This window comes from Homo sapiens, chromosome 1, assembly GCF_000001405.40.
Source record: "Homo sapiens chromosome 1, GRCh38.p14 Primary Assembly".
Lineage (NCBI taxonomy): Eukaryota > Metazoa > Chordata > Mammalia > Primates > Hominidae > Homo > Homo sapiens.
In genome coordinates this window covers 178,811,204-178,838,929 of record NC_000001.11, presented here as the reverse complement: position 1 = coordinate 178,838,929, position 27,726 = coordinate 178,811,204, and the positions used below count along the sequence as shown (strand labels likewise).

The window sequence follows — 27,726 nt, the reverse complement described above, 5'->3', positions numbered from 1 at the left end:
TTTGATCTTCAATCACTGATACCCTTTCTTCCAGTTGATCGAATAGGCTACTGAAGCTTGTGCATGTGTCACGTAGTTCTTGTGCCATGGTTTTCAGCTCCATCAGGTCATTTAAGGACTTCTCTACACTGGTTATTCTAGTTAGCCATTCGTCTGATCTTTTCTCAAGGTTTTTAGCTTCTTTGCGACGGATTCGAACTTCCTCCTTTAGCTCGGAGAAGTCTGATAATCTGAAGCCTTCTTCTCTCAACTCGTCAAAGTCATTATCCATCCAGCTTTGTTCTGTTGCTGGCAAGCATTCCTTTGGAGGGGGAGAGGTGCTCTGATTTTTAGAATTTTCAGCTTTTCTGTTCTGTTTTTTCCCCATCTTTGTGGTTTTATCTACCTTTGGTCTTTGATGATGGTGACATATAGATGGGGTTTTGGTGTGGATGTCCTTTCTGTTAGTTTTGCTTCTAACAGTCAGGACCCGCAGCTGCAGGTCTGTTGGAGTTTGCTGGAGGTCCACTCCAGACCCTGTTTGTGGGGATATCAGCAGCGGAGGCTGCAGAACAGTGAATATTGCTGAACAGCAAATGTTGCTGCCTGATTGTTCCTCTAGAAGCTTCGTCTCAGAGGGCTACCCAGATGTGTGAGGTGTCAGTCTGCCCCTACTGGGGGGTGTCTCCCAGTTAGGCTACTTGGGGGTCAGGGACCCACTTGAGGAGGCAGCCTGTCTGTTCTCAGATCTCAAACTCTGTGCTGCGAGAACCATTACTCTCTTCAAAGCTGTCAGACAGGGACATTTAAGTCTGCAGAGGTTTCTGCTGCCTTTTGTTCAGCTATGCCCTGCAGAGGTGGATTCTACAGAGGCAGGTAGGCCTCCTTGAGCTGCGGTGGGCTCCACCCAGTTTGAGCTTCCAGGCCGCTTTGTTTACCTACTCAAGCCTCAGCAATGGCGGATGCCCCTTCCCCAGCCTCGCTGCCGCCTTGCAATTCGATCTCAGATGGCTGTGCTAGCAATGAACAAGGCTCTGTGGGCGTGGCACCCTCTGAGCCAGGCACGGGATCTAATCTCCTGGTGTGCCATTTGCTAAGACCTCTGGAAAAAGTGCAGTATTAGGGTGGGAGTGACCCGATTTTCCAGGTGCCTTCTGTCACACCTTCCCTTGGTTAGGAAAGGGAATGCCCTGACCCCTTGCACTTCCCGGGTGAGGTGATGCCTCGCCCTGCTTCGGCTCGGTGGGCTGCACCCACTGTCCTGCACCCACTGTCCGACAAGCCCCAGTGAGATGAACCCGGTACCTCAGTTGGAAATGCATCAATCACCTGTCTTCTGTGTTGCTCATGCTGGGAGCTGTAGACTGGAGTTGTTCCTGTTCGGCCATCTTGGAACCCTCCCCGCTGCCTTTTGTTTTCTAATTCTTGGGTAACCCTCAGACACATACATTTTACTAGAGAATATGAGAAGCAGAGGAGGAGGAAACAGAAATGCATTAAAACACCAGGCTGTAGTGTGGTACCGCAGTGTCAATACTACTACACTGACTGGTCACTGGTAGAGAAAGCTAGGAGATCAGATGGGGATCAAGTTTGGAGGAAGAAGAAGACATGATGAATTCACTTCTGCACATGTTGAATGGGAGATACCTGTAGATTTTTCTCACTTAATGAATCAGTATTTTAGTACCTAAAAATGTTAGACGGCCCCAGGGATTAAGTAGATAGCTAAGATATACAGATAGATATAAAATATACAGTGATATACAAAGTTAGACAGATTCAGTCTAGATTTGGAAGATCAGGCAATATACAGAAAAAACCTGAATGAGACCACTCCGATTATATAGAGTAAGAAAAGAAGTGGACTGGCTGAGCCCAGTGGCTCACACCTGTAATCCCAGCACTTTGGGAGGCTGAAGCAGGAAGACTGCTTGAGGCCAGGAGTTTGAGATCAGCCTGGGCAACATGGCGAGATCCTGTCTCTACAAAAAAAATTTTAAAATTAGCTGTGCTTGGTGGTGCACACCTGTAGTCTCAGCTACTGCAGAGGCTAAGGTGGGAGGATCGCTTGAGTCCAGAAGTTTGAAGCTGCAGTGAGCTGATCATGCCACTGCACACCAGCCTGGATGACAGAGTGAGACCCTGTCTCTGAAAAATAAAAATAAAAAAAAGAAAGAAAGAAAAGAAGTGGACTGAGACCTCTCAAGAATACATTTAAGAGACAAAGGTAGAGTAAGAGCAGCTAATAAAAGCCAGAAATGTAGAAGGGAAACCAAGAAAGACTGGTGCTACTTGTGGAGAATTTCAAGGAGGAGAAATAATTGACACCAACCCTCACACAATTAAGATGGGGCTTGAGAAACATCTATAAAATGTTTCAACCAGGAAGTCACTGGTGACCTTATTAGGAAAATTTCTAGAGAGTGAAGATGGAGAAAAAGGTGACAACAAGAATGAGATACTTTTAAATTGGCTTAAGTATAAAGTGAAGCAGAACTACACGGTGAGAGTGAAACGTAAGATCCTACATCATGAGAACATATAAAATGAAAGGGAACTGAAAAAAAGAAGGAGTCATTGGAGATGATGGGAAAAATGGAAGATACGAGAAAAACAATGCTTGTAATATTTTCTCAAAATTAACATCTGTACCTCAACATTTTCCGCATTTGCTTTAACCCGTAGGTATGATTACTCTTTGTTTCAGGTCGGGGGCTGAGACAGAAGAGGTATATTCTCCACTAGAAAACCTTTCCTGATTCTACTAAACTCCAACTTGGCTAGTGCTTTCTTCCCCAACTTTCTCTCTGTGTGTGCATGAGAGTGCATGAATGTACCTGAGCACATATACAGACGTACACAGCTTCAATCCTGTACTGATGTCTCCACTGTGGAAAAATGTCAAGAAGGTCCAAGAGTACAAGAAGGTCCCCAACTAGAAATCACAGCATAAGGATTCCTATTATCTTATTTTCTCATTTTGAATGGAAAATAATCTTAATTTTCTTTTCTAGAAGATACAAATTATGAAATTTAGTTTGAGAAAAACATATTTCAATGAGAAAAAGAAAGCAATCGTAAAATTGGTAAATTTTAAAATGAGAGTTCAGCAGGTATAATTGGAGCTCTCTAGGTTAAGACTTCAGAATGCAGACCTGTCAGTAACTAGGTCTTAGGACTATGAGCCAGGTCTTCTACCTTTCTGGATCTTGGTTTTCTCGATAGTAAAATAAGTTAATTAGAAGACATCACTACAGCTGGGTGCCATCACTCATGCCTATAATCCCAGCAATTTGGGAGGCTGAGGTGGGCGGACAACTTGAGGTCAGGAATTCAAGACTAGCCTGGCCAATATGGTGAAACCCCATCTCGACTAAAAATACAAAAATTAGCTGGGCATGGTGGTGCATGCCTGTAATCCCAGCTACCTGGGAGGCTGAGGCAGGAGAATCACTTGAACCCAGGAGGCGGAGGTTGCAGTGAGCTGAGACTGTGCCACTGCACTCTAGCCTGGACAACAGAGCGAGACTCTGTCGCAAAAAAAAAAAAAAAAAAGAAAAGAAAGAAGATATCACAATGCTCCCATCCAGCCTTAAGGAGAACATGATTCTAGTCCTATGCATGCTATTTCTAGGTAAAGAGAACAAGGCTCAAAGAAGAAAATTCAATGACTTGAAAAATAAGGACTGTAGAGTCATTGTGGAATTGAGGATTGCCAATTCTCAGTCTAATGTTCTTCATACTATAAAAAGTACACATTCTTCTGAATTGTGAAGGTATTATTTTTGAAAAATTCCCTATTCCTTCTCTCCTCAAATTATATTTGCAAGTATGGGCACAGCCAAGGCTATGGTAAAACACAGAGCACCACGCTGGGTGTGATGGCTCATGCCTACAATCCCAGCACTTTGGGAGACTGAGATGGGCGGATCACTTGAGGCCAGGAGTTCAAGACCAGCCTGGCCAACATGGCGAAACCCTGTCTCTACTAAAAATACAAAAATTAGCTGGGCGTGGTGGTGCTTGCCTGTAATCCCAGCTACTTGGGAGGCTGAAGCAGGAGAATCACTTGAACTTGGAAGGCAGAGGCTGCAGCAAGCAGCGATCGCACTTCTGAGCTCCAGCCTAGGAAACAGAGCGAGGCTGTCTCAAAAAACAAACAAAACAAAACAAAACAAACAATGACAGCAACAACCTAAAAATGTAAAGCACATACAGAATGTCTTTCTCCTAATATCCAGCTTAGAGCCTCTCTGATAAGAGTCATGCTTACTATGATCCTAAGCTGTTTATCAAAGAAACAGGACAAAATATTCTGGGATGCAGTGGCCACTAACTCTACTGTGCTTAGGGGTATTCTGCCTTCAACACAAGGTACACAATAGGTCCCCATTCTCTGCAATCCTAGGGTGTCCCACAATATTCTAAAGAGTTAAACTCTTCTCTGGGAAACTAAGGTTGATGTTCTATAGTAGCTAAATGGGCATGTATCAACTGCCTTTGTCCCTTCTTTGTCTTCTAGTCACTGGGACTGTAAACACTTCAAGGTGACACTGTAATCACTCTCAGAAATAGCTATCTTGAAATTTAGTGTGAGTAATTTCATCAAACACAAAATCTGGGGGGTGGGGAGGACCAGAAAGCACCAAATCTTCATCATTTGATTACTCTCTACATAGGATCAAATCAATTCATTTTAATGTATGCTAGGTATGTATCATGTATTTTCCTTATGTTTGATTTACATACCTATTTAAAAGAACAACTTATTTGGGTCTTCTTTTCATTCAAACACCTAACAAAGCATTATTCATATTTTGTTAAAAATAATCTTATAATATTACTGGTTAAATACTTCTTGAATTTATAAGCACTACAAGATATATAATAAAGAGATAAATTCTTAATTAGATGAGATGCGAAATACAGAACTGTCTCAGCACGAAGCTAAATTGCCACAGTGAATCAACTCATTTCATTCAGGTAAACAACAATACCAATATGCACTGAGACTACTTCAGAATTCACACTAAAATATCTCCTCACTATATAAGGACTTTGATCAATTTCCTTAATGTATTAAACATCATTACGAACTATTATATTCTTTAAAAGCATTACTAAAACAGCTAAAAATATTGTTTTACTATATGGTCCTACTCTAAGAAAACATAATAGTCTAAGAAAAACCTTGAGGGCAAAAGGCTAATCTAATATGAAAATACATTCCAGGTAACAGGGTAACAACTATCTTTAGTCATTTTTTTCAGCTTACCAATCTTGAAGTAATTTATTTAAAAGATACAAACATTTAAAAAATACCTTGAATTTCACATAAATTACTGAGTAAGGAAGAGTAACAACTAGAAACAAAAAACACACAGTGACATAACTCACCTAAATAGGGAATGCAAGGTGTCATCTTTAAGCTACTTATATAGTCTCTGAGTCTTTTGTAGTTATCTTCTTTACTCATTACATATTCTAATTTTTCAAAGGTAGTTTTGTCTTTTCGACTTAATAACTAAAAAACAAACAGAAAAACCTAAGTTATTTACAAATCTCATTTTATTGTAGCAAAGACCTGAACTGAAGTTGTATTTACTGTGAATATGGATTTTAATTTCAAAGTTATATCTTCTTTAATTATATCTTGGTAGTATATAAATAAGACAAAATCAGATTTGTCTATTAATAATCCAAATTCATTATTTATAAGATATCCTTTGTATGTTCATAAAATTAACTAAGTAATAAATTATAACATTTTCGTGTTTACTATTTTAAATTAATCAATTTTTATTAATCACCTTCCTAATTTTAGAAAATTATGCATTCATATTTAGCTCAAATGTCCAAGTATTTTAATGAACTGTCCCTTGCCACCTCAAAGATAAACATCATTCTTGCATAATGTTAAGAAATAAACACCAAATTTTGCGATTAACACTTTTTCTTGATAAATCTAGTCATGGCTAGTCCTAATAACTGTAAAATCCTTTAATTCCTTACATTTTTGGATTTCTGATATTTTCTTCTCTTTGATCAGTGCTATATCACATACAACATAACTAAAAGATACTGTTGTAAGACACTTGAGAGGCAGATTTGCAGTAAGTGCCTTTGAGATCAATGTAAATAATCAAGGGGAGTTGAAAAAAAAAAAAGCAAAGTCAGTCACCCACAATGGTGTTCACTAAAAGGTTCAGGAAATAGTTTTTCAAATCATTCCAAAGACTGGAAAATTTTTTTTTTTATTTAGACATGAAGTTTCTATTTCATTACTACATTAGATTTCACTTTATTTCATATTAAAATATTGGTGTTGTTTTACAGCATGCAAAACATTTCCACCTATGTAAGTCTCACCTAATTTTCCTATGAGATTAACAAAAAAGTATGAGTATTAATTTAGAGATGAAGAGACTGAGATCACAAGGTTAGCAAGCAGCAGAATATAATACTCTCTGTTACCCACTCACTCACAAAGATGTATGTCCTTGTTTTTCAGGATCTTATAGTCTGGTTCTGGAGATAAGAATATTCTGACACCTAATCCACTACTCTTTCTAGTATTATAAGTAGTACAGTTGGGATCTATTGTTCAGAGGCTCAAAGATGCAGACTATCTTCAGAAAATCTCTATTAGAAAAATGTCTCAACAGTATCGCTCCCTCTTTAAAATACAACGTCAAGGGGTCCTTTGCTTTAATGTTTTAGATGGATATTCCATGGTCTAAAACAGCGGTTTTACAATTTTCTCTTACTCCACTTTCAAGATACTTGATTAGTAATCTCAAGATTAGGTGCAAATGTTTGCTTGCTGCCTGTATATCTAACTCTTTACCACTTAAGGAAGTATCTGGATATGCAAAATATAGTTATGTGACATAGGGATAATGATAAACCTGCTCTTTATTTTCCCCTAAGTCAATCATTCAAAAACTTTGGTACAATACCAGGAGAAACAAATTACTTAGAACTCGTAACTAATCTTGCCACAGCTGAAACACAGAACTGTTATAACAAACTATAACATGATTTTGTAATTTTCATAATAAATCAATAATCAGATAAATAGAATTCAATCTGAGTTGTGGTAGGAGAGACTTGTTTCCAGAAGACTAGAGGAAGAATATGAATATAAAGAACTAATTAGATGTTAATATAGGTATTTCCTGAATGATAGCTCAGAAGCTCTATTAACTGAGAAGCCTTTTCTTTCTTCTTTTCAAATCTTCTTTTGATATTTATAATGTTATATTTAAAAAGTCTCTTTACTGTATTTTCCCCTCCAAAAACCGCTGGGGGTGGGGGGGGCGGGGCGGACAAAATACTTCACAGTGTTCTACTTCTACATGTCCTTGGCACCAAGAGCATGACAAATGGGGGCAAGCCTCTTCACACTTTCATTGATATTAATGAAAGAGGAGACCCACAGAATTCTAGATGTTCCTGACCAGATATCTAACACCACCTTACCACCACAATCTGTTTTGGGGGAAAACCTAGATGAATGCCCGCTCATGTCAGTCACCCCAGGAAACACAAACTCCCAGATTATTCCTCATCACCTTGGTTTGTATCTTCACACAATATGTGTGAATGTGTGCAACTGCATAAATGAATACTTTATCTTAGACCCGGGGTGCAGATTAATTATAATCTTTTGTTTGTGACACTCAATTATCATTAGAGCCTGGTATGGCTTTGTTAAATGGATTTAAACTTTATAACGAACACACATGACTCATCTTCCATCCAATTGCCTTGACTGCCTTTAAGAGGTAACCAGTAACCACTACTCTGAATGTTCTGTTTATCATTCCCCTCAAATTTTATTTCATTTTTGGCAAATTTTATTCCATTTTAACTTTTATTTCATTTTTAGTCTTTGGCAATTACTTTGTTCATATAACATTGTGATATTAAAGCTTCATCCATGAAGTTGTGGGAAGCTATAGTTCATTCATTTTCACTGCTTCTATGTGTATCCTCTCCTCTACAAAATACATTTATAATGTTAATTTTTCTATTTTTTTTCTTTTTTCGTTGTTAAGAGTTCTGGATGCAAATTCTTGTGTTGGACACATTCTAGTTGGACAACTAACTGTTGCACATATCTTCCGCCCACTGCATCCTCTTTTCCATTTTAAGGTATCTTTTGATGAACAGAAATTCTTACTCTAACATGACAAAATTTATTATTATTTTTTTCATTGTTGGAGCTTTCTGTATCTTATCTAAAAAATCCTTACTTATCCAAAGCCAGAAATCTATTCATGCCAAACCAGAGAGATATTCACATATATTTTTCCTTCTAAAAAACTGAAGTTTTTCATTTCACATTTAAGCCCTTGAGTCATCTCACAAGGATTTTTGTGAATGGCGCAAGGGGCCTGATTTCATTTTTTCCCCCAAACTGGTGACCAATTTTGCAGCTCCAATTAATAAACAGCCCCTCATTTCTTTACCAACTTACAATGCCACCTCTGTCATACACGTATCAGAATCCTGTAAAAACAAGGAGGTATTTCTGGGTTCTTCATTCTGTTTCATTGGTAGATATGTCTAAAACTGCAGGAATCATACACTGTCCAAGAATCTAGTATATCCTGACATCTGTTAGGCCAAGTGCTTATCTCCCCAATTCCCATTGTCTTCTTTAGCTATTCCTGAACCTTTAAATTTCCATATAAATTTTACAATCAATCTTCCACCAGCAGTACTGGGGTATAACTGACAAATTTAAATTGCATATACTTGAGGTGTACATGTTTTAATACACATATATAATGAAATTATTATCAAGCTATCAAGCTAATTAACATATCCATCATCTCACAAAGTTAGTTACTTCTTATGTATTTGTATGGTAAGAACATTTAAGATTCACTCTTTTAGGCTGGACACGGTGGCTCAAGCTTGTAATCCTAGCACTTTGGGAGGCCAAGGCAGGCAGATCACTTGAGGTCAGGAGTTCGAGACCAGCCTGGCCAACAAGGCAAAACGCCATCTCTACTAAAAATATAAAAATTAGCTGGGCAAAATGGTGGGCGCCTGTAATCCCAGCTACTCAGGAGGCTGAGGCAGGAGAATCACTTGAGCCTGGGAAGTGGAGATTGCAGTGAGCCAAGATTGTGCCACTGCGCTACAGCCTGGGTGATAGAGCGAGACTCCATCTCAAAAAAAATAAAAATAAATAAATAATAAATAAAATTTAAAAAGATCCACTCTCTCAGAAAAGTTCAAGTATACAACATAGTCTTATTAACTATAGTCAACTATAGTCCTCATGCTGTACATTAGATCTCCAGAACTTATTCTCTCTCCATTAGTGGTCCCTAACCTTTTTGGCACCAGCGACAATTTTTCCATGAACATGAATGGGGAAAGGTTTTGGGATGAAACTGTTCCACCTCAGATCATCAGGCATTAGATTCTCATAAGGAGCACACAACCTAGATCCTTCACATGCGGAGTTCACAATAGGGTTCATGTACCTATGAGAATCTAATGCTGCCACTGATTTGACAGGAGATGGACCTCATGCCGTAATGCTCACTTGCCTGCTGCCCACCTCCTGCTGTGGCCTGGTTCCTAACAGGCCATGGACCAGCACTGGTCAGCAGCCCGGGGTTTGGGGACCCCTGTTCTACATAACTGAAACTTTGTACCTACTGACCCAACATTTCCCCTGCCCCTCAGCAACCATCCTTCTACTTTTTGCTTCTATGAGTTCAGCCTGGTAAGATTTCACAGATAAGTGAAATTGTGCAGTAGCATTTGTCTTTCTGTATCTAGCTTATTTCACTGAGGATAATGATCTCCAAATTCATCCATGCTGTTGTAAATGTAAGGCTGAATAGTATTCCATTGTGTATATAAACCACATTTTCTTTATCCATTCATCTGCTGATGGACATTTAGGTTGGTTCCATATCCTGGCTATTGTGAATAATGCTGCAACGAACATAGGAGTGCAGATATCTCTTTGACATATCAATTTCAATTTCTCTGGACACATACTCAGAAATGGGATTGCTGGATCACATAATTGTTCTATTATTATTTTTGGGGGAATCTCCATACTGTTTTCCATGACTGTACCAATTTACATTCCCACCAACACTGTACAACAGTTCCCTTTTCTCCACATCTTTACCAAAACTCGTTAGTTATCTTTTGGCTTTTTGATAACAGCTATTCTAACAGGTGTGAGATGATATATTATGTGGTTTTGATTTGCACTGCCCTGATGATTAGCGATGTTGAGCACCTTTTGATATACCTGTGGGACTTGTGTATGTTTTCTTTTGAGAAATGTCTATTCAGATCCTTTGCCCATTTTTTAATTGGGTTGTTTTCTTGTTATCACATTGTCTGAGTTCCTTATACAGTCATGTGCTGCAAAACGACATGTCAGTCAAGAACAAACTGCATATACAACAGTGGTCCCATAAGATTATAATACTGTATTTTTTACTGTGCTGTTTCCATGTTTAAATATACAAATACCACCGTGTTATAACTGCCTACTCAGTACAGTAACATGGTGTATAGGTTTGTAGTCTAGAAGCAATAGGCTGTACCATATAGCCTAGGTGTATTGTAGGCTATGCCATCTAGGTTTGTGTGATTACACTCTATGATGTCTGAACAACAAAATCACCAAACAACACATTTCTCCGAAAGTATCCTCATTGTTAAGCCATGCATGACTGTATTTTGGATATTAACCCCTTATCAGATGTATTATTTGCAAATATCTTCTCCCATTCCATAGACTGTCTCCTTTGCTGTACAAAAGCTTTTTAGTTTGATGCAATCCCATTTTGTATATTTTTGCTTTCGTTGCTTGTACTTTTGGGGTCATAGCCAAAAAATTATTGTCCAGATCCACTGTCAAGAAGCTTTTCCCGTGTGTTTTCTTCTAGTAGTTTTACAGTTTCAGGTCTCATGTTTAAGTACTAAGTATATTTTGAGTTCATTTTTGCAGATGGTATGAGATAAGGGTCCAGTTTCATTCTTTTGCATGCGGACATCCAGTTTTTCTGACACAATTTATTGAAGAAACTACCATTTCCCCATTGTGTGTTCTTGTTATCTTTGTTGAGGATCAATTGACTGTAAATGTGTGTATTTATTTCTGGGCCCTTTATTTTGGTCCATTGGTCTACATGTCTATTTTATGCTAACCACAATATTTTGATTACTATAGCTTCACAGTGTATTTTAAAATCAGAGAGTATGGGCCGGGCGCGGTGGCTCACGCCTGTAATCCCAGCACTTTGGGAGGCCGAGGCGGGCGGATCACGAGGTCAGGAGATCGAGACCATCCCGGCTAAAATGGTGAAACCCCGTCTCTACTAAAAAATACAAAAAATTAGCCGGGCGTAGTGGCGGGCGCCTGTAGTCCCAGCTACTTGGGAGGCTGAGGCAGGAGAATGGCGTGAACCCGGGAGGCGGAGCTTGCAGTGAGCCGAGATCCCGCCACTGCACTCCAGCCTGGGCGACAGAGCGAGACTCCGTCTCAAAAAAAAAAAAAAAAAAAATCAGAGAGTATGATGTCTCTAGCTTTGTTGTTGCTCAAGATTGCTTTGGCTATTCTGAGATGTTTGTGATTCCATGTGAATTTTAGAATTGTTTTTTCTATTTCTGTGATAAATGTCATTGAAATTTTGATAGTGACTGCACTGAATCTGTAGATTGCTTTGGGCTGTATGGATATTTTAACAATATGAATTCTTCCAATGCACAAACACAGGATATCCTTCCATTCATTTGTATCTTATTCAATTTCTTTCATTAATGTTTTATAGTTTTCTGTGTATAGATTTTTCACCTCCTTGGTTAAACTTAATTTTTCAGATAGTTCGTTATTAATGTACAGAAATGCAACTGATTTTTGTAAGATAATTTTGTATCTTGGAATGTTACTAAATTCATTTATTTAGTAACATTCAGTTTATTTTACAGTTTCAAAAACCTGTTAGAACTCTAATAGTTCTATCCATGAACATGGGCTATTGCTCCCTCTATTTAGTTCTTTGTTAATGACTTCCTGTAAAGTTTTATAACTTTCTGCATATAGGTCTTACACATTTTATTCCACTTATTGTTTGATATTTTGTTTCTTTTGTTGATATTGTAAACGATGTCCTTTTAAATAATACTTGTTTCAAATATAACCAATTTTGTATTGCTCATATATTCAACCACTTTAAGTAAACCTATTTTTTAAAAACTGTGGTAAAATATATACGTAACATACAATTAACCATTTTCAGGGGGACATTTCAAGGATATCACCAACATCCATATCCAAAAGTTTTTCATCTTCTCAAAATGAAACTCCATATCCATTAAATAATAACTCCCAAATCCCATTTCTCCCCATCCCTGGCAACCATCAATCTAGATTCTGTCTGTATGAATTTGATTACTCTAGGTACCTCATATAAGTGGAATTATAGGAATTATACAGTATTTGTTCTTTTGTATCTGGTTTATTTCACTTAGCATAATGTCTGAAGGTTTATTCATGGTGCAGCATGTATCAAGATTTCATTGCTTTTAAAGAGAGATGAATATTCCACTGTATGTATAAACTATATTTTGTCTATTCATTCATCCACTGTTAGATGTTTGGGTTGTTTCTACCTTTTGACTATGTGAATAATGTTGTTATGAACATTAAAACATATACAATAGCAATTATATGTTGAATACAACAGTGAAATTGTGCATCCTTTTCCTTGATGCTCTTAATATTTTCCCTACATAGAATGTTGTTGTCTTTTTGGTACATTCCCTTTATCGGTTAAAACAAAACAAAACAAAACCATCCCAAACCTTTCCAACTGTATCCTCCTGAATTCATGGTCCATCCTCTGCAAAATCCCTATCCTTAACATTTTCTCTAAGCATTCCCTTTCTTTTCTTATAAACCTTGTAACATATGCCTGGAGGTAGGTTAGGTGTAATCTTTGCTCCTTACTCTTCACAATTTCTTCCAGCTCATTATCTCTCACCCTGCTCCCTAAAATCCTCCAGCTTCTATTAAATTGAAGGCACTAGGATAAGTGCTGTCCAACAGAATTTTATGTGATGGTGAAAATCTATGCCTGTGCTGTCCAATATGATAGCCACTAGCCACATGTGACTACTGAGCACTTGCAATGTGGCTAGTATGATCAAGGAGCTAAATTTTTTATTTTATTTTATTTTAATGATTTAAATGTAATAGCCACATGTAGCTAATGGCTACCATATTAAACAAGAGAACCCTAGATTACAACACTTATGTTACTGTCATTTATAGATCTACAAGTCATTTTCCCCCTATATCTTGAAGATTTTTGTAGTTGGAGAAAAAAAATCCATGAACCAAAATTATTATCATAAATCTTGGTGATTGCCATTTCATGGAGAGAATACTCCCAATACTCTGGTTTCTTAGTTTCTGGACTTCTGCTCCAATGATCTTATCTTCTACCACCCTCAGCTTGCACTCCCTTTCTCATTCTGAATCCAGTGATTATTTGACTCCACTGTGGCTTCCAAACCACTGACCAGCCTACCTTTTCACTGTTCATCATCTTCCTCCTTTTACTTGGCTTAGTTTCCTCATCTGTCAATAAAACAACTCTCATATTTTCCGTCTTTCACCTCTTGTGCTACCCTTAACCCTTCTGGTACAAAAGCCTCGAAAAATCCCATCTCTGGTTAAATACAACTCTTGGCACTATTGAAAGCTTATGCTGAATATCTGAACCTGGCTGGAGAATACATAACTCTGCTGACTGGTTTTACTTTAAATTCATGATTAAAAAAAAGTCTTAAGTAGATGGATCCTACATAAGGTCTATCAAACCTATTACGTTTTCTTAGTTAACACACTCTCACACTCTCCAGATGACTTTTATATCCTCTCTTCTTTCTTCAAATCTCCAACACCTCTCCCATACCACCTTAACTAAAGACCTTGCTTTTTTATGTCTGAGGAAACAAAACAATCAGAACTTCTAAGAATCCCACCACGAAATCTACCAACTTACCTGCATCTGTAACTAAATGTGTTCCCTTCCCTGCTGTTAAAATGGATAAACTATCTTTTCTTTTTTTTTCTTTTTTTTTGAGACAGAGTCTTGCTCTGTCGCACAGGCTGGAGTGCAGTAGCGCGATCTCGGCTCACTGCAAGCTCCGCCTCCTGGGTTCACGCCATTCTCCTGCCTCAGCCTCCAGAGTAGCTGGGACTACAGGCGCCCATCACCACGTCTGACTAATTTTTTTGTATTTTTAGTAGAGACGGGGTTTCACCGTTTTAGCCAGGATGGTCTGGATCTCCTGACCTTGTGATCCGCCCGACTTGGCCTCCCAAAGTGCTGGAGTTACAGGCATGAGCCACCACTGCACCCGGCGTAAAATGGATAAACTCTTACTGATACACTAGGGTACTAAATCTAATTCTCTTTCATCTCATCAAGCATATCACTGGTATAATTCCTCATTCTCTTGTCATTTTTTTAGTTCTACTAGATTATTGCCACCAACATAAAACATATTGCCATTGATGCCATTTCCAAAAACAAAACAAAATACAACAAATCTTTGGTCCCACATTCCCTTCCAGGTACCATATTTCTCTGCAAACCACACTGCAGCCCTTTACAGTAAAATTCCTCAAAAGCATTCTCTATACTTGCTGTCCCACTTCTTCATCACCATTCTCTCAACTCCAGTCAGTTTTTCACCCCATTCTCTACTGAAATCACTCTTCCCGAGGTCACCAATCCTTTCCAATTGTCAGGTCATCTCAAACTTTGCACCTTATTCAAATTATTAGTAGCATTTGACAAAGGTGATCAATTTTTATTGAAACATTTTCTTTACCTGACTGTGAAAAATGTGTCCTACCCGTAATTTCCTTTGTTGATTTCTCCTCATTTTTCCAATCTCTACTTGGGAATCCTGGAGGTTCCCAGGGCTTTTCATCTATGCTCCCTCCTTAGGTAATCCCATCTAGCTTCAAATAGTTTACATTGATGATTATAACAATCTCTCTCTAGCCCCAACCACTCCCTTAAACTTGTACATCTAAGTCTGACCTTACATTTCACATGGATGTTTACTAGCCAACTCAAACACAGTATGTGTAAAATAGAACCCCAGCCCACAATGGTCCTTCTCTATACCTCTCTGAATATAAGTAAACAGCACCTCCATTATCTGATTCATGCCACCTCTTTGAAATCATCTCCTACCACCGGGTACCTTCCTAGCTTATTCTACTGTCAACACTAACCACTCTGCCATTTGAATGTATCTGGGCCTTTTTACTTGTTATTACCTCTACTTGGAATTCTCTTCTCCCAGATATCCAAATAAATGGTTCCCTCAATTCCTCCAGGTCTCTACTGAACTGTCATTTATCAACAATTCTCTTACCATGTTACATAACACAGTACTGTCCTGCCTTCCTTTCTACTTTTCTTCAGAGCATTTATTGCTATTTATGTCATTTATTTATTTGTAATTTATTCTTCCCCAGCAGAATGTTAGCTGTATGAAAATGGAACTTTGTCTAGATCATTCACTATTAAATGTCAAGCAATTACAGAGTGCATAGCACAGTATGAAATATTTTAAAATACAAACCATCAAAAGTTTTATTCAGATAAATAATGAAGCTGTTACCAAATAAAAATTATTATTTTCCACAAAAATACATAAGGGAGGCAATGAAAATATCTTCAAGGAAAATAAAAATTAACTTCAGCAAAATCTACCTCATTACTAAACCAAATCATAAATAAAAGTATAGGACTGGGCGTAATGGCTCATGCCTGTAATCCCAGCACTTTGAGAGGCTAAGGCGGGAGGATCACTTGAGATCAGGCGTTCGAAAACAGCCTGGACAACACAGTGAGACCCCATCACTATAAAAACTTTTTAAAAAATTAGTTGGGCATGGTGGCATGTGCCTGTAGTCCAGTTACTTGGGAGGCTGAGGCTGGAGGATCCTCTGAGCCCAGGAGTTGGGGGCTGCAGTAAGCTATGATCGTGCTACACTCCAGCCTGGATGCAAAAAATAAAAATAGAATTTTTTTTTCACAGCGTATAATTCTTTTCCCTAAAACTTTAAAGATATAATTCATAACTGTATATTTATAATCATTTCCATTCCTCCATGAAATTCAAATTTTAAGAAAAGACAATAAGGCCATAATTATTAAAAAGAATTTTTAAAGAAAACCCTTCACACCAAGGTTTTTCTATAAAATAGAAAAGAGAAACATAAAAAGGATCACAAGCTTTTCCATACTAATGTTTTTCCAATATAGAAATCTACACTGGTTTTCATGGGAAACATCTGTCTCTTCAGATACTATAAAAAGCAAAAGCAGCACTTTGTTAATTAAAAAGTTATATTTTAGTAATAAAGTTTTAAAAAGTCAGTCATGATTTTAGCCCAGAACCTTAAAAACACATTGATCCTTTGTACAAAATGTAATCGATTCTAAACAAAATAGTTGCTCTTTAACATTAAAGAATAGTATTGAATATAAATAAATTTAATTGAATATAAAATTTTACTTATATAAACTATAAATGAAAACTACCTGAAAAGATTGAGTACAATATCATGTTACTCAAATATGAAAATACACAAATTTGCAGAGGTCAAAATTCATACTCTGATCTCATATAAGTAATAGAACCAAATATGATTAACATAATATCAGCATGTGCAGCAACAGCAAATAATTCCATGTTAATCATCTAGTTTTCCATTATTCCTAAGGAAAAAACTTAAGATTTACTCACTAAAAAATAATGGAAATTGAAATCAGTAAAATTTTTTTGAAACCTATGATTCAGATATGCCTCAAACTTTCCAAAAGCATAATCTTTACGATTAAATGCAATTTTTTTGTATTCATACCTTCCATCAGTTGAATATTAAACATTACGTTGTCAAAGATATTGAAAGTGTTTCAACAAAAATGATTCTCTAAGGAGCAAAAACTAAGCACCAAGCTGTACCCAAAAATTACCTTATACCCAGTGCACTGCTTAAGGAGAAAAAATGTAGGTATCAAAGAATAGAGTACAAAGCAATTTAAAAATCCTTATTGATTATCATTATATTAACTTTAATAAGAATTACAAAGGAAATGAATATATCTTTCCTTTCCACAGGAAGTCTAACCTTTCATTAACTAAAGAATATTACTCACCGCCCATGTTTTAGTCAACCTGAAAATTGGGGCACTCTGTAGGCCAGAAACCACTGCCATAAGTGCATGAAGGTTATTCAGCTCATACAGTTTCTGAAGATTTGAAAAAAAATGGGGGAGAGGGATGAAAAAGAACAACATGAATACAAGAAAATTTAGACTAACAAGTACAATCTTGGCAACTGGTAGTGTTCCAGCATATATTACCTTCATTACTGAGAACTGTCTTTAGAGTACCCTGTGTTTACACTAAGTTATTTTGGTGCACAACAGAACTTACATGTTCTACCCTGGCATTGTCCCCAAACTCTGGGAATAAATCTACCTCTAGTTGAGTAATATATTAAGAAAACCAAGGTTATGTCTCATTATCAAGTTTACATGGTATGATCATGAAAGCTGGTTTCTAGTAAACAGTCTCCCTTATACTGAACTATTACTAAGCCTCTGCTTTATGTTTCAAGTTTCAATAAAGGGTCAACATCCAGGATTCTGATTTGGTTTCCCATCCAGTACTCCCATTATTCCAGGGCAAGGGAGAAACCTGCCTTTCACAGTACAGTCCCTCTCAATTTTCTGCTTCCTCCTACCCAAATCCCCAGATCCTTTTTCCCTCATTCGTGCTGAGACATTGATTTTACAGTCTGTATGCATAAAACTCCTACCTAACACTAGTTTCCAGCACTTTCCCATGAGATCTGCATAACATTTATTGCTAATTTCCCAGATTTTTAAATACTGCCTGATGCTTATATCCTGCAAGTCCTGTCTAAAAATCAGTCATTTTACAACTGTCCTAATCCTACAGCCAGGTAAGCCCCAGGTCTAGAAAATGCTGTGGATACAGCATTTAATTGAAAGCCCGAAGAAAACAAATAAAAACAAAATAAATTAATAACACAAAACATAATATAAACCCTCATCCAAGGTTATATAATCTAACTGGAAAACCATTCAATGAATGTATTTTAAGCATTTATTATACTAGGCACCATATTAGACTGCATATACAAAAATGAAAAAGACCTATCAAGAAGCTTCAGTCTAGTGAGACATGAAAACAAATACAAATCCAATTTGCATATTTCTAGAATAAAAGTATATATAGGGTTATATAAATAAAAGTATATATAGGGTTCTACAGAATAATCAGCCCCTAACTTTGTCTGAGAGATTCAGATTTCCAGAAATGACACTTGAGAGTGAGGGGCTATGAGAAAGAGGGAATACAATTTACAAAAAGCACAAAGGCATGAAGGTGTCTGGAAGCTGAATATGAGAAGTATCAGAGTACCAGAAGATGAAACCAGAAAGGGCCATTTTTACATGTGAAGCCTCTTTAAAGGCTAGATTTGCTCTCATAAGCAGTAAGAACTCCAGTGGAGGATTTGGAGAATTTTTAAATTTGAGAATGATATAACTGAATGCCAGGCATCGGTTCACAACCCTTTATCTGCAATTCTGAGATCTCAAACCTGAAAAGTCAAAGTTTTGTTTATTTGGTAGTGTGGTCTCAGGTTCACTAGGTGGGAAAATCTAACCTGATGTGAGGCTAATGACAGACTTCATTGATCTCACTTAAGGTGAATAATTACATGTTTTGCTCCAAAAATATTAAGTGTGTTTGATTTCAAGGTATTACATAAGCAGGAGGTGGAGGTGATTGTGATGAGCATACCACAGATGGTATATGAACTATACCACCTTTCTAAAATCTGGGGAAAAAAGTGTATTCCTAAATATATCTGGCCCCAAATGCTTTGGGTAAGATATTATGGATGTGTACTACATTTTGGAAAGATCAGGGAGCAGAAGGTGGCATACAGGAAGGGAATCAGTTCAGAGACTACAGTGAGAGATGATGAGAAGGATCTGATACATTAGTGTCAGTGGAGTTGAAGAGGGGGAATGGATTCAAAATTTAGTAAGGACTACATACCAGAAGTCTGGTAAATTAGACACCTTGACCTACTCTTCCAGTGAAAATAATTAAAAATATTGGGTAAGATATGAAACACATCTTATGAAAATTCACTGTAAAGCTAGCAATAAAGTAAGGAATACTTAGGGCCCTAAAACTAAGGAGAATCCAGAGATGTAAGCTGAACACCAAAGCTGGCAATCCCTTGGAGGACATTTGAAAATCTGGTTAGCTTTCCAAGCTTCATGGGACACATTGCCCAGGGCCTAATCTATGGTGGGGGTTCCAATAAGAGACTCTCATTGCATAAAGCAGAGACACTGAAGGACTCATTGCCTGAGCGTAAGGGCAGGATAGAAGTAATCCTTACCCACCATCAAGAGACTGCCAGACAACAATGCCTGCTGTGAACCTTAGTGCTAAGGGAAGAGGGGAGGGGTCTTATGGAGGTTTGCAGCCCAAATAACTACTTCATAGTAAGAATAAACAGAGGCCAGCCATGGTGACTCACACTTGTAATCCCAGCACTTCCGGCGGCTGAGGCAGGTGAACTGCTTGAGCCCAGGAGTTCATGAACAGCCTGGGCAACATGGCAAAACCTTGTCTCTATAAAAAAAACACAGAAATTAACCAGGTGCGTGGTGGCATGTGCCTGTAGTCCCAGCTACTGGGGAGGCTGAGATGGGAGGACTGCTTGAGCCCAGGAGGCACAGGTTGTGATGAGCCATGCTTGAGCCACTGCACTCTAGCCTGGGCAACCCAGCAAGACCCTGTCTCAAAAAAAAAAAAAAAAGAAAAAGAAAAACAACAAAAACTCATGCTGAACTAGTAGCTTCTGCCTAAGATGTAGAACAACATGAGAAACCATTGTTAAAGCCATAATGGCAAGAAAACAAAACAGATAAAACTTAGAAAACCATTTTATTAAAGACACTGGAGAGTTGTGGACACAAAGAACACAAATAACTAAATTCCAAAGTAAAAAAAACCAACAGCCTTTAAACAGTTTTTCCTCCCTGAGGGCATACGCTGAATCTCTACAAGGCTAGGCAAAGATGAAGGCTCCGACAGGCAGATTTTGCTAAAGTAAAATCTGTGGGCTGGTATAATAGACTAGAATCTGTAGGAGTCTCAAACCTAGAGTTGGCTCTGTGTCCACTGATTCACTCCTAATGGAACTTACTTTACTGTGTGTCAGTGCTGGAGGCTGACAGCTGGGTTAGAAAGCAGAGAGAGATCTCTGGGACTTAGATCCCAGGGTCCCTACTACAGCAAGGGGCCTGTACCATACAAAGTACAGATTTTGCCCTGAGTCATTTGTGACCAGAGGTTATATGAAACTAACTAAAGCTAAAACTCAACCCTATCCACCTCAATTCCTAATTGGATCAGAAAAATCAGCTTCTCTCTCTTTTTTCTTTTTTGAGACGTGGTCTCGCTCTGTTACCCAGGCTGGAGTGCACTGGCATGATCTCGGCTCACTGCAACCTCTGCCTCCCAGGTTCAAGTGATTCTCCTGCTTCAGCCTCCCGAGTAGCTGGGACTACAGGAGAGCCCCACCATGCATGGCTAATTTTTGTATTTTTAGTAGAGACAGGGTTTCACTATGTTGACCAGCTGGTCTCAAACTCCTGACCTCAGGTGATCTGCCCGCCTTGGCCTTCCAGAGTGCTAGGATTACAGGCGTGAGCCACCATGCCCAGCCAGAAAAATCAGCTTCTCATTCTTGTTCCCTCACAGAGGATTGGGCTTAACCACCCTGGGAGAAGAGAGTATTTACTCCAGTCTCTACCATTCTTTTAAATATAATGTTTAAAGGTAGAAAAGTCAGAAAGGAAGAAGTCAAATCTGCCTTTATTTTCAGGTAACACGACTGCATATGTAGCACCAAACAATTAGAAAATGAGCCGGAAAAACATTTACAATAATATCAGAACATTGGCTGTCTATTAGAAATAATGATATACAACAGTGCTTCACTGAAAATAAAGCACTGCTGAGAGAAATTAAAGAAAACTTAAACAGAAATAAACCATGTTTGTGGATTGAAAGTCTTAATGTTGTTATCAATTCTTCCCAAAGTGATCTATAAATTCAATAAAACCTCAATCAAAAATGGAAGCAGGCCATGTTGTAGAAATTGACAAGCTACTTCTAAAATTTCCACAGATATAAAATGGAGATAGCATAGCCAAGACAATCTTGAAGAAGAAAAAAAAATTAGAACACTATCAGATTGCAAGGCTTACTACAAAGCTACAGTAATTAAGACAAAGAGATATTGGAATAAGAATAGACAAATAAATCAAAGGAACAGAAATATACCTACACGTATTTGATCAAGTGATTTTCAACCAAAATGTCAAAGCAGTTAAACAGAGAAAAGAATGGAGTTAGCACAATTAGATATTCTTTTTTTTTTTTTTTTTTTTTTTTTTAAATTGAGACAGAGTCTCTGTCGCCCAGGCTGGAGTGCAGTGGCGTGATCTTAGCTCACCACAAACTCTGCCTTCCAGGTTCAAGTGATTCTCCTGCCTCAGCCTTCTGAGTAGCTGGGATTACAGGAGTGCGCCAACACACCTAGTTATTTTTGTATTTTTTAGTAGAGTTTGGCCAGGCTGGTCTCAAACTCCTGACCTCAAGTGATCTGCCCGCCTCAGCCTCCCAAAGTGCTAGGATTATAGGTGTGAGCCACTGTGCCTGGCCTAGATATTATTATGAGGAAAAAAAATGAACCTTAACTCCTACACCTTCCACCAGACACAAAAATTAATTTGGCTGGGTGCGGTGGCTCACACCTGTAATCCCAGGACTTTGGGATGCCGAGGTGGGTGGATCACCTGAGTCAGGAGTTCGAGACCAGCTTGGCCAACATGGTGAAACCCCATCTCTACTAAAAATACAAAAATTAGCTGGGCGTGGTGGTGCATGCCTGTAATCTCAGCTACTTGGGAGGCTGAGGCAGGAGAATCGCTTGAACCTAGGAGGCAGAGGTTGCAATGAGCTGAGATTGCGCCATTGTGCACCAGCCTGGGTGACATGAGCAAAACTCCATCTCCAAAAAAAAAAAAAAAATCACTTCAAACTATAATACTTCTAGGAGTGATCAAAGGAAAATGTCTTTATGACCCTGGATTAAGAAAAGATTTATTAAACAAGACACAAAACACAGTAACCACAAAGATAAAAATAACAAATGGGACTTCATTAAAATTGAACAGTTCTGCTCACTAACCAAAAGACAGCATTAAAATAAAAACGCAAGGCATAGACTAGGAAAAAATACTTATTTCTGAAAAGGGTTTGTATTCAGAATACATTAAAAAAATCCCTACAACTTGATAAGACAAACAATCCTATTAAAAATATGGGTAAAAGATTTGAAAGGATAGTATCACAAAACAAAATATCCAAATGGTCCACATACATATGAAAAGATACTCAACCATCACTATCATCAGAAAAATACAAATTAAAACCACAGTAAGATACTATTACACACCCAAAAAGAAAGGCCAGATTAAAAAAAAAAATTAAACACCAAGTACTGGCAAGATGTGTGGAGTAACTGGAAGACTTATTGCTGACTGCAATTTAAAGTGGTAAAACCAACCGGGTTATGTTGGAAAATAACAATATTTGGCAGTTTCTAATAAAGTTAAAACATATTCCTAATCTATAACCCAGAAAGTCCACCATTCCTAGGTATAATCCAAGAAAACTCAATGCATACTCCACAAAAATGTTCATAACAGTTTTATTCATAAAAGCCAAAGTAAAAACAATATGTGCATTAATAAGCAAATGATGAAGAAATTGTGGAATATCCATACACTGGAAATCTACTTAGCAATAAAAGAATTATCAATAACATGCAATGTGGATGAATCTCAACAACATGGTGAGCAAGAGTAGTCAACCACAAGTAATAGCTTTCTGTAGGATCCCACTTACATAAATTCCCAGAACAGCCTTCATCTATATTGTAGCAGTGGGGTGTGTTGGCAGGGCAATATGGAGGAAATGTTGTTTGGGAAAATGCTTGAAGGAACTTTGTTGCAACATGAAGGGCTTTATGAGAAATGGGCCCTTACCAGACACTGAATCTGCTGACACCTTGATATTGGACTTAATCCTCACAGTTCTCTAGAATGTTCACTGTTTATAAATGTTTGTTTTTACAAGCCACCTAGTTAACGGTATTTTTGTTATAGCAGCCAGAACAGACCAAGACAGAAATTAAGGATCAGTAAATCTGACTACTAAAATTAAGAACATGTAAATCAGAAAATACGAAAAAAGTGGTAAGACAAGCTACAAATAGCAAGATACATGCAAAGCTTATGAGAACTAGCATCTAGAGTTATATAAAGAACTCCTACAAAAATCAATAGAAGACTGCCAGGCGCGGTGGCTCACACCTGTAATCCCAGAACTTTGGGAGGCCGAGATGGGAGGATCACCTGAGGTCAGGAGTTCAAGACCAGCCTGACCAACATGGCAAAACCCTGTCCTACTAAAAAAAAAATACAAAAATTAACTGGGCATGGTGGTGTGAGCCTGTAATCCCAGCTACTTGGGAGGCTGAGGCAGGAGAATCACATGAACCCAGGAGGTGGAGGGTGCAGTGAACCAAGATTGCACCACTGCACTACAGCCTGGGCAACAGAGTGAGAATCCATCAAAATAAATAAATAAATAAAAACAAACAAACAAAAAAACCAAAACACACACAATAAAAGACCAATACCAAAACAGAAAACTGCTGAAAGATCTTAAACAGACCTTTCAAGAGAGAAAACCTAAATGGCCAACATAGAAAAGATGTTCACTCCTATCAGATTCAATGAAAAGCAATTAAAACTAAAATGAGATAAATTTCACATCCACCAGAATTGGCAACAATGAAAAATTTTGACAATATCAGATGGTGACATGGATGTGGAGCAACAGGCATCTTCATACATTGCTAGTGAGCATATATAAATATAAATCAGTTTGGAGGTTATCTATAACAAAGCTAAAGAGACGAGGGGACAGGTACAGTAGCTCACACTTGTAATCCCAGCACTTTGGGAGGCCAACATGGGAGGATCACTTGAGCACAGGAGTTCAAGACCAGCCTGGGCAACATAATGAGACCTTGTCTTTACAAAACAAAACAAAACAAAAAAACAGAAATTAGCCACAGGTGGTGGCATATGCCTGTAATCCTAACTATTCGGGAGGCTGAGGTAGGAAGATTGCCTGGGCCCAGAAGGTCAAGGATGCAGTGAGTTGGGATCACACCACTGGCCTTCAGCCTGGGTGACAGAACAACAAGATCCTGTCTAAAAAAAGAGAGAGAGAGAGAGACTCAGTAATTTCACTGCTAGTACGAACTCTGTATTTCTAGGGCTTCAACCGTCACATAAGCACCAAGAGACTCATACAAGAATGCTTATGGCAGCAGGGCTCATAATAGCCAAGAATTTGGAAATAATCCAAAGTACATTGAATAATTTGTGATATATACAAATAGGATACTCTACAACAGAGCTACTCCCAAAACCATTAAGTAACACTGCTGAGTTATGAAAGTACAAAAGTAAATATGGAATAATTCAATTTAAACAAAATCCAAAAGCATATATTTGCAGCAACATATGATTCAGAAACATACACACTGTAAAAGAAAAAATTCAAGGCAGTAGTTCCCATTGCAGTAGAAGGGAAGGAGGTGGCATATGAAGAGGCATATGAAAATTCCCAGTGGTCAGTGGGTGCATGGGTATCCACATTATCATTCTTTTGATACTTTAAATATTCTTATATTCTTTTGTATCTATGTGATGGTAAGTTTGATGTGTCAACTTGTCTAGACTATTAGTATCAGTTATTTAATCGAACCCTAATCTAGGTGTTGTCATGAAGATATTTTGTAGATGCGGTTAACATCTACAAATCAAGAGATTCCACTTGATAATGTGTGTGGGCCTCATTTGATCAGTTGAAAGGCTTTAACATTGAAAATTGGTGTTTCCTGGAAAAGAAATTCTGCTTCAAGACTAGTGCCTAAACTCCTGAGTTTCCAGCCTGTTGGCCTACCCTACAGATTTCATACTTGCCAGTCCCTTCAATTGTATAAGCCAATTCCTAAAATCTATTTATACATTTTATATTTAGATCTCTTTATACATGTTTATACAGAATGCTACGGTTCTATCTCTCTGGAGAATGCTGACTGATAACAATACTCAAGTAAGAGACCTGCCAGTTTTATAACAAACAGTATAGAAGGCAGAGAGTCAGAATAGAAGGGTTTAAGGGACAATGAGAAAAAAACAATTATGAGTTTAGAGCTTGGGATGAAGGCAAGTGCTGTCAAAAATAATTCAAAGTCTGAACTGAAGTTAAATGATTGTTTGATGAAGACAGTGGTAGGTTTGAGCAAAATTTGGTGGTTTTGAGTGGAACATACAAGTAAATTTAAAAACTAACAAAAATATCAGAAAATAATAATGCAGAATCCATGAAGAATCATTAATTTTTATTAGTTAAAAACCAGTATTGGCCGGGTGCAGTGGCTCACGCCTATAATCCCAGCACTTTGGGAGGCCGAGGTGGGAGATCACTTGAGGTCAGGTGTTCAAGACCAGCCTGGCCCAACATGGTGAAACCCCATCTCTACTAAAAATACAAAAATTAGCCGGGTGTGGTGGCATGCACCTGTAGTCCCAGATACTTGGGAAGCTGAGATGTGAGAATCACTTGAACTCGGGAGGCAGAGTTTGCAGTGAGCCGAGATCGCACCACTGCACTCCAGCCTGGGCCACAGAGCGCAACACCACCTCCAAAAAAAAAAAAAAAAAAAAAGTATTTACCTAACATATCATCACAAAGAATTTCTAAAAATATTTTGACACTTTTGCAAAATATCAAATTTGTAGAAGGCTAGCTCTGCCACCTAGTGCCATAGAATGTTAGAATACAATTGCTCCCATGTTCTTAAGGAAAATAGGAAAGAGTTATGACTTTTAATAACTGTAAACATGATATCCTCATTTTATTCTGCCTTCTTTCATTCACATGTGAGGAAAGTTACGTATTTATTACAAGAGTAATGAATGAACGTGGCTACAATTACCATACTTCTTAGTGAACTTAACATTAAAGGAAACCAAAAATATATTACCCTAAAATATACTTCTTTGACATATTTTGAGATAGCTATTCAGAGGGCCTACGGACAGATATAGCCCTGAAAAGCTGCCCTTTGTGGAGGAGATTCACATCTGTAAAGAAAATCTACAATGGTGAAATGAACAGCTAGGCTTCCTCTGAGCATCCTCTCCCTTGTCCAGATCTAGGAAAGATTAACTCAACCATAGGCGACCCCAACTATTCTTTCTGAGGGTAGCTCTGAGATTATCTGAGATACTTCCTTGAGATATCTGTCTTTGCTTAACATGTTCTTCTCCCTTCGCTCTCCCATAACCTGTAATGCCACCTCCCCTAGAGCTCAGAGAAACTTGGTCTCAGGACTTCGTTCTCTGGGCTCATTCATTTTACCTGAAAATCACTTACTCTTATGTACCCCCTCCCCCAAAACTCCCCTCTCCCCAGTGAAGAAGATATTTAAGCATCAACCATTTGGCCCTGCTTTGAGTTTATACTTTGTATGACTCCTATGCACATGTAATAAATCTGCTATGCTTTTCTCTCATTAACTTGTCTTTTGTTACATCGCTGCCGGCCTTGACCCTTCATGATGGAGAGGGAAGGGCTCACTCCCCCTTTCTGCCCCTCCAACCAAATTCAGAGTTGTTACAAGTTTTAATAAAATCTTGGTATCCTTTGTAGAACATCCTGTCTCACCCTTCTAATTTCCAACTACCTTTGAAATCCATTCTCCATTTCTCTTGCTGTATTTATTATCTATGTCACACAATAACTGTTCAGTTAACAATGTGGTAATATCACATATACCATTCTCTTAAAAATAAAGTCTTATTCTTCACATGGTTCACTTCAGAAGTGAAGTAGTATTCTCCTACTTAATTCTTTATGGCTTTCTTCATCACCTGCAGAATAGTCCAATATTTTATAAATATCATACTTTACCATAATCCAACCTTTGTCTACTTATTCAGTAAAACAGATCACATAATTCAGCTACTCAGAGAGTGGGAGGAAGAATATAAAAGAAAAGGTAGGAAAACAGGAAGAATAAAGGAAAAGGCAGAGAAAGTAGGCATCCAATTTTAAAAATTGACTTATATCAATGAGTCTTATTTTTCCAGTATCAATAAACAGTGAATAAAGCATCACGAATATTTATTCACTTACAAACATTTATGAATGGTTGAACTCAAAAATAAAAACACAAGTTTTTCTTACCTTAGCAGTTTTAATATAGTGGCTCAAAACTTCTGCTCTAATTTTTAATGTTTGAGCATGAAGAATCTCTCTAACAACCCAAAAGCTTACCTGTAAATAAAAATTTTAAATAAATATCACTATGATTTTTAATTTGTAAGTTTTTTTGCTGTATTTTAAAAAATTTTGGCAGAATTAGGTAAGCTCTAAAATTAAACATTG

The 27,726-nt window shown here is 37.8% G+C and overlaps 1 protein-coding gene across 9 annotated transcripts in view; it reads right to left on the bottom strand.

Moving 5' to 3' along the window:
- Positions 1-27,726, bottom strand: part of RALGPS2 (Ral GEF with PH domain and SH3 binding motif 2) — a 196,597-nt gene that overhangs the window by 82,911 nt on the left and 85,960 nt on the right. For 7 of the 9 annotated variants that reach the window (XM_047423755.1, NM_152663.5, NM_001400042.1 and 4 more), the window contains 3 exons: positions 27,526-27,615; positions 17,226-17,318; positions 5,380-5,506 (listed from right to left, as the gene is read on the bottom strand). In XM_047423755.1, coding sequence (XP_047279711.1) covers positions 5,380-5,506; positions 17,226-17,318; positions 27,526-27,615 — 310 coding nt within the window. The remainder of the gene's footprint in view (positions 1-5,379; positions 5,507-17,225; positions 17,319-27,525; positions 27,616-27,726) is intronic. The other 2 variants (NR_174383.1, NR_174384.1) reach the window with 1 other exon arrangement.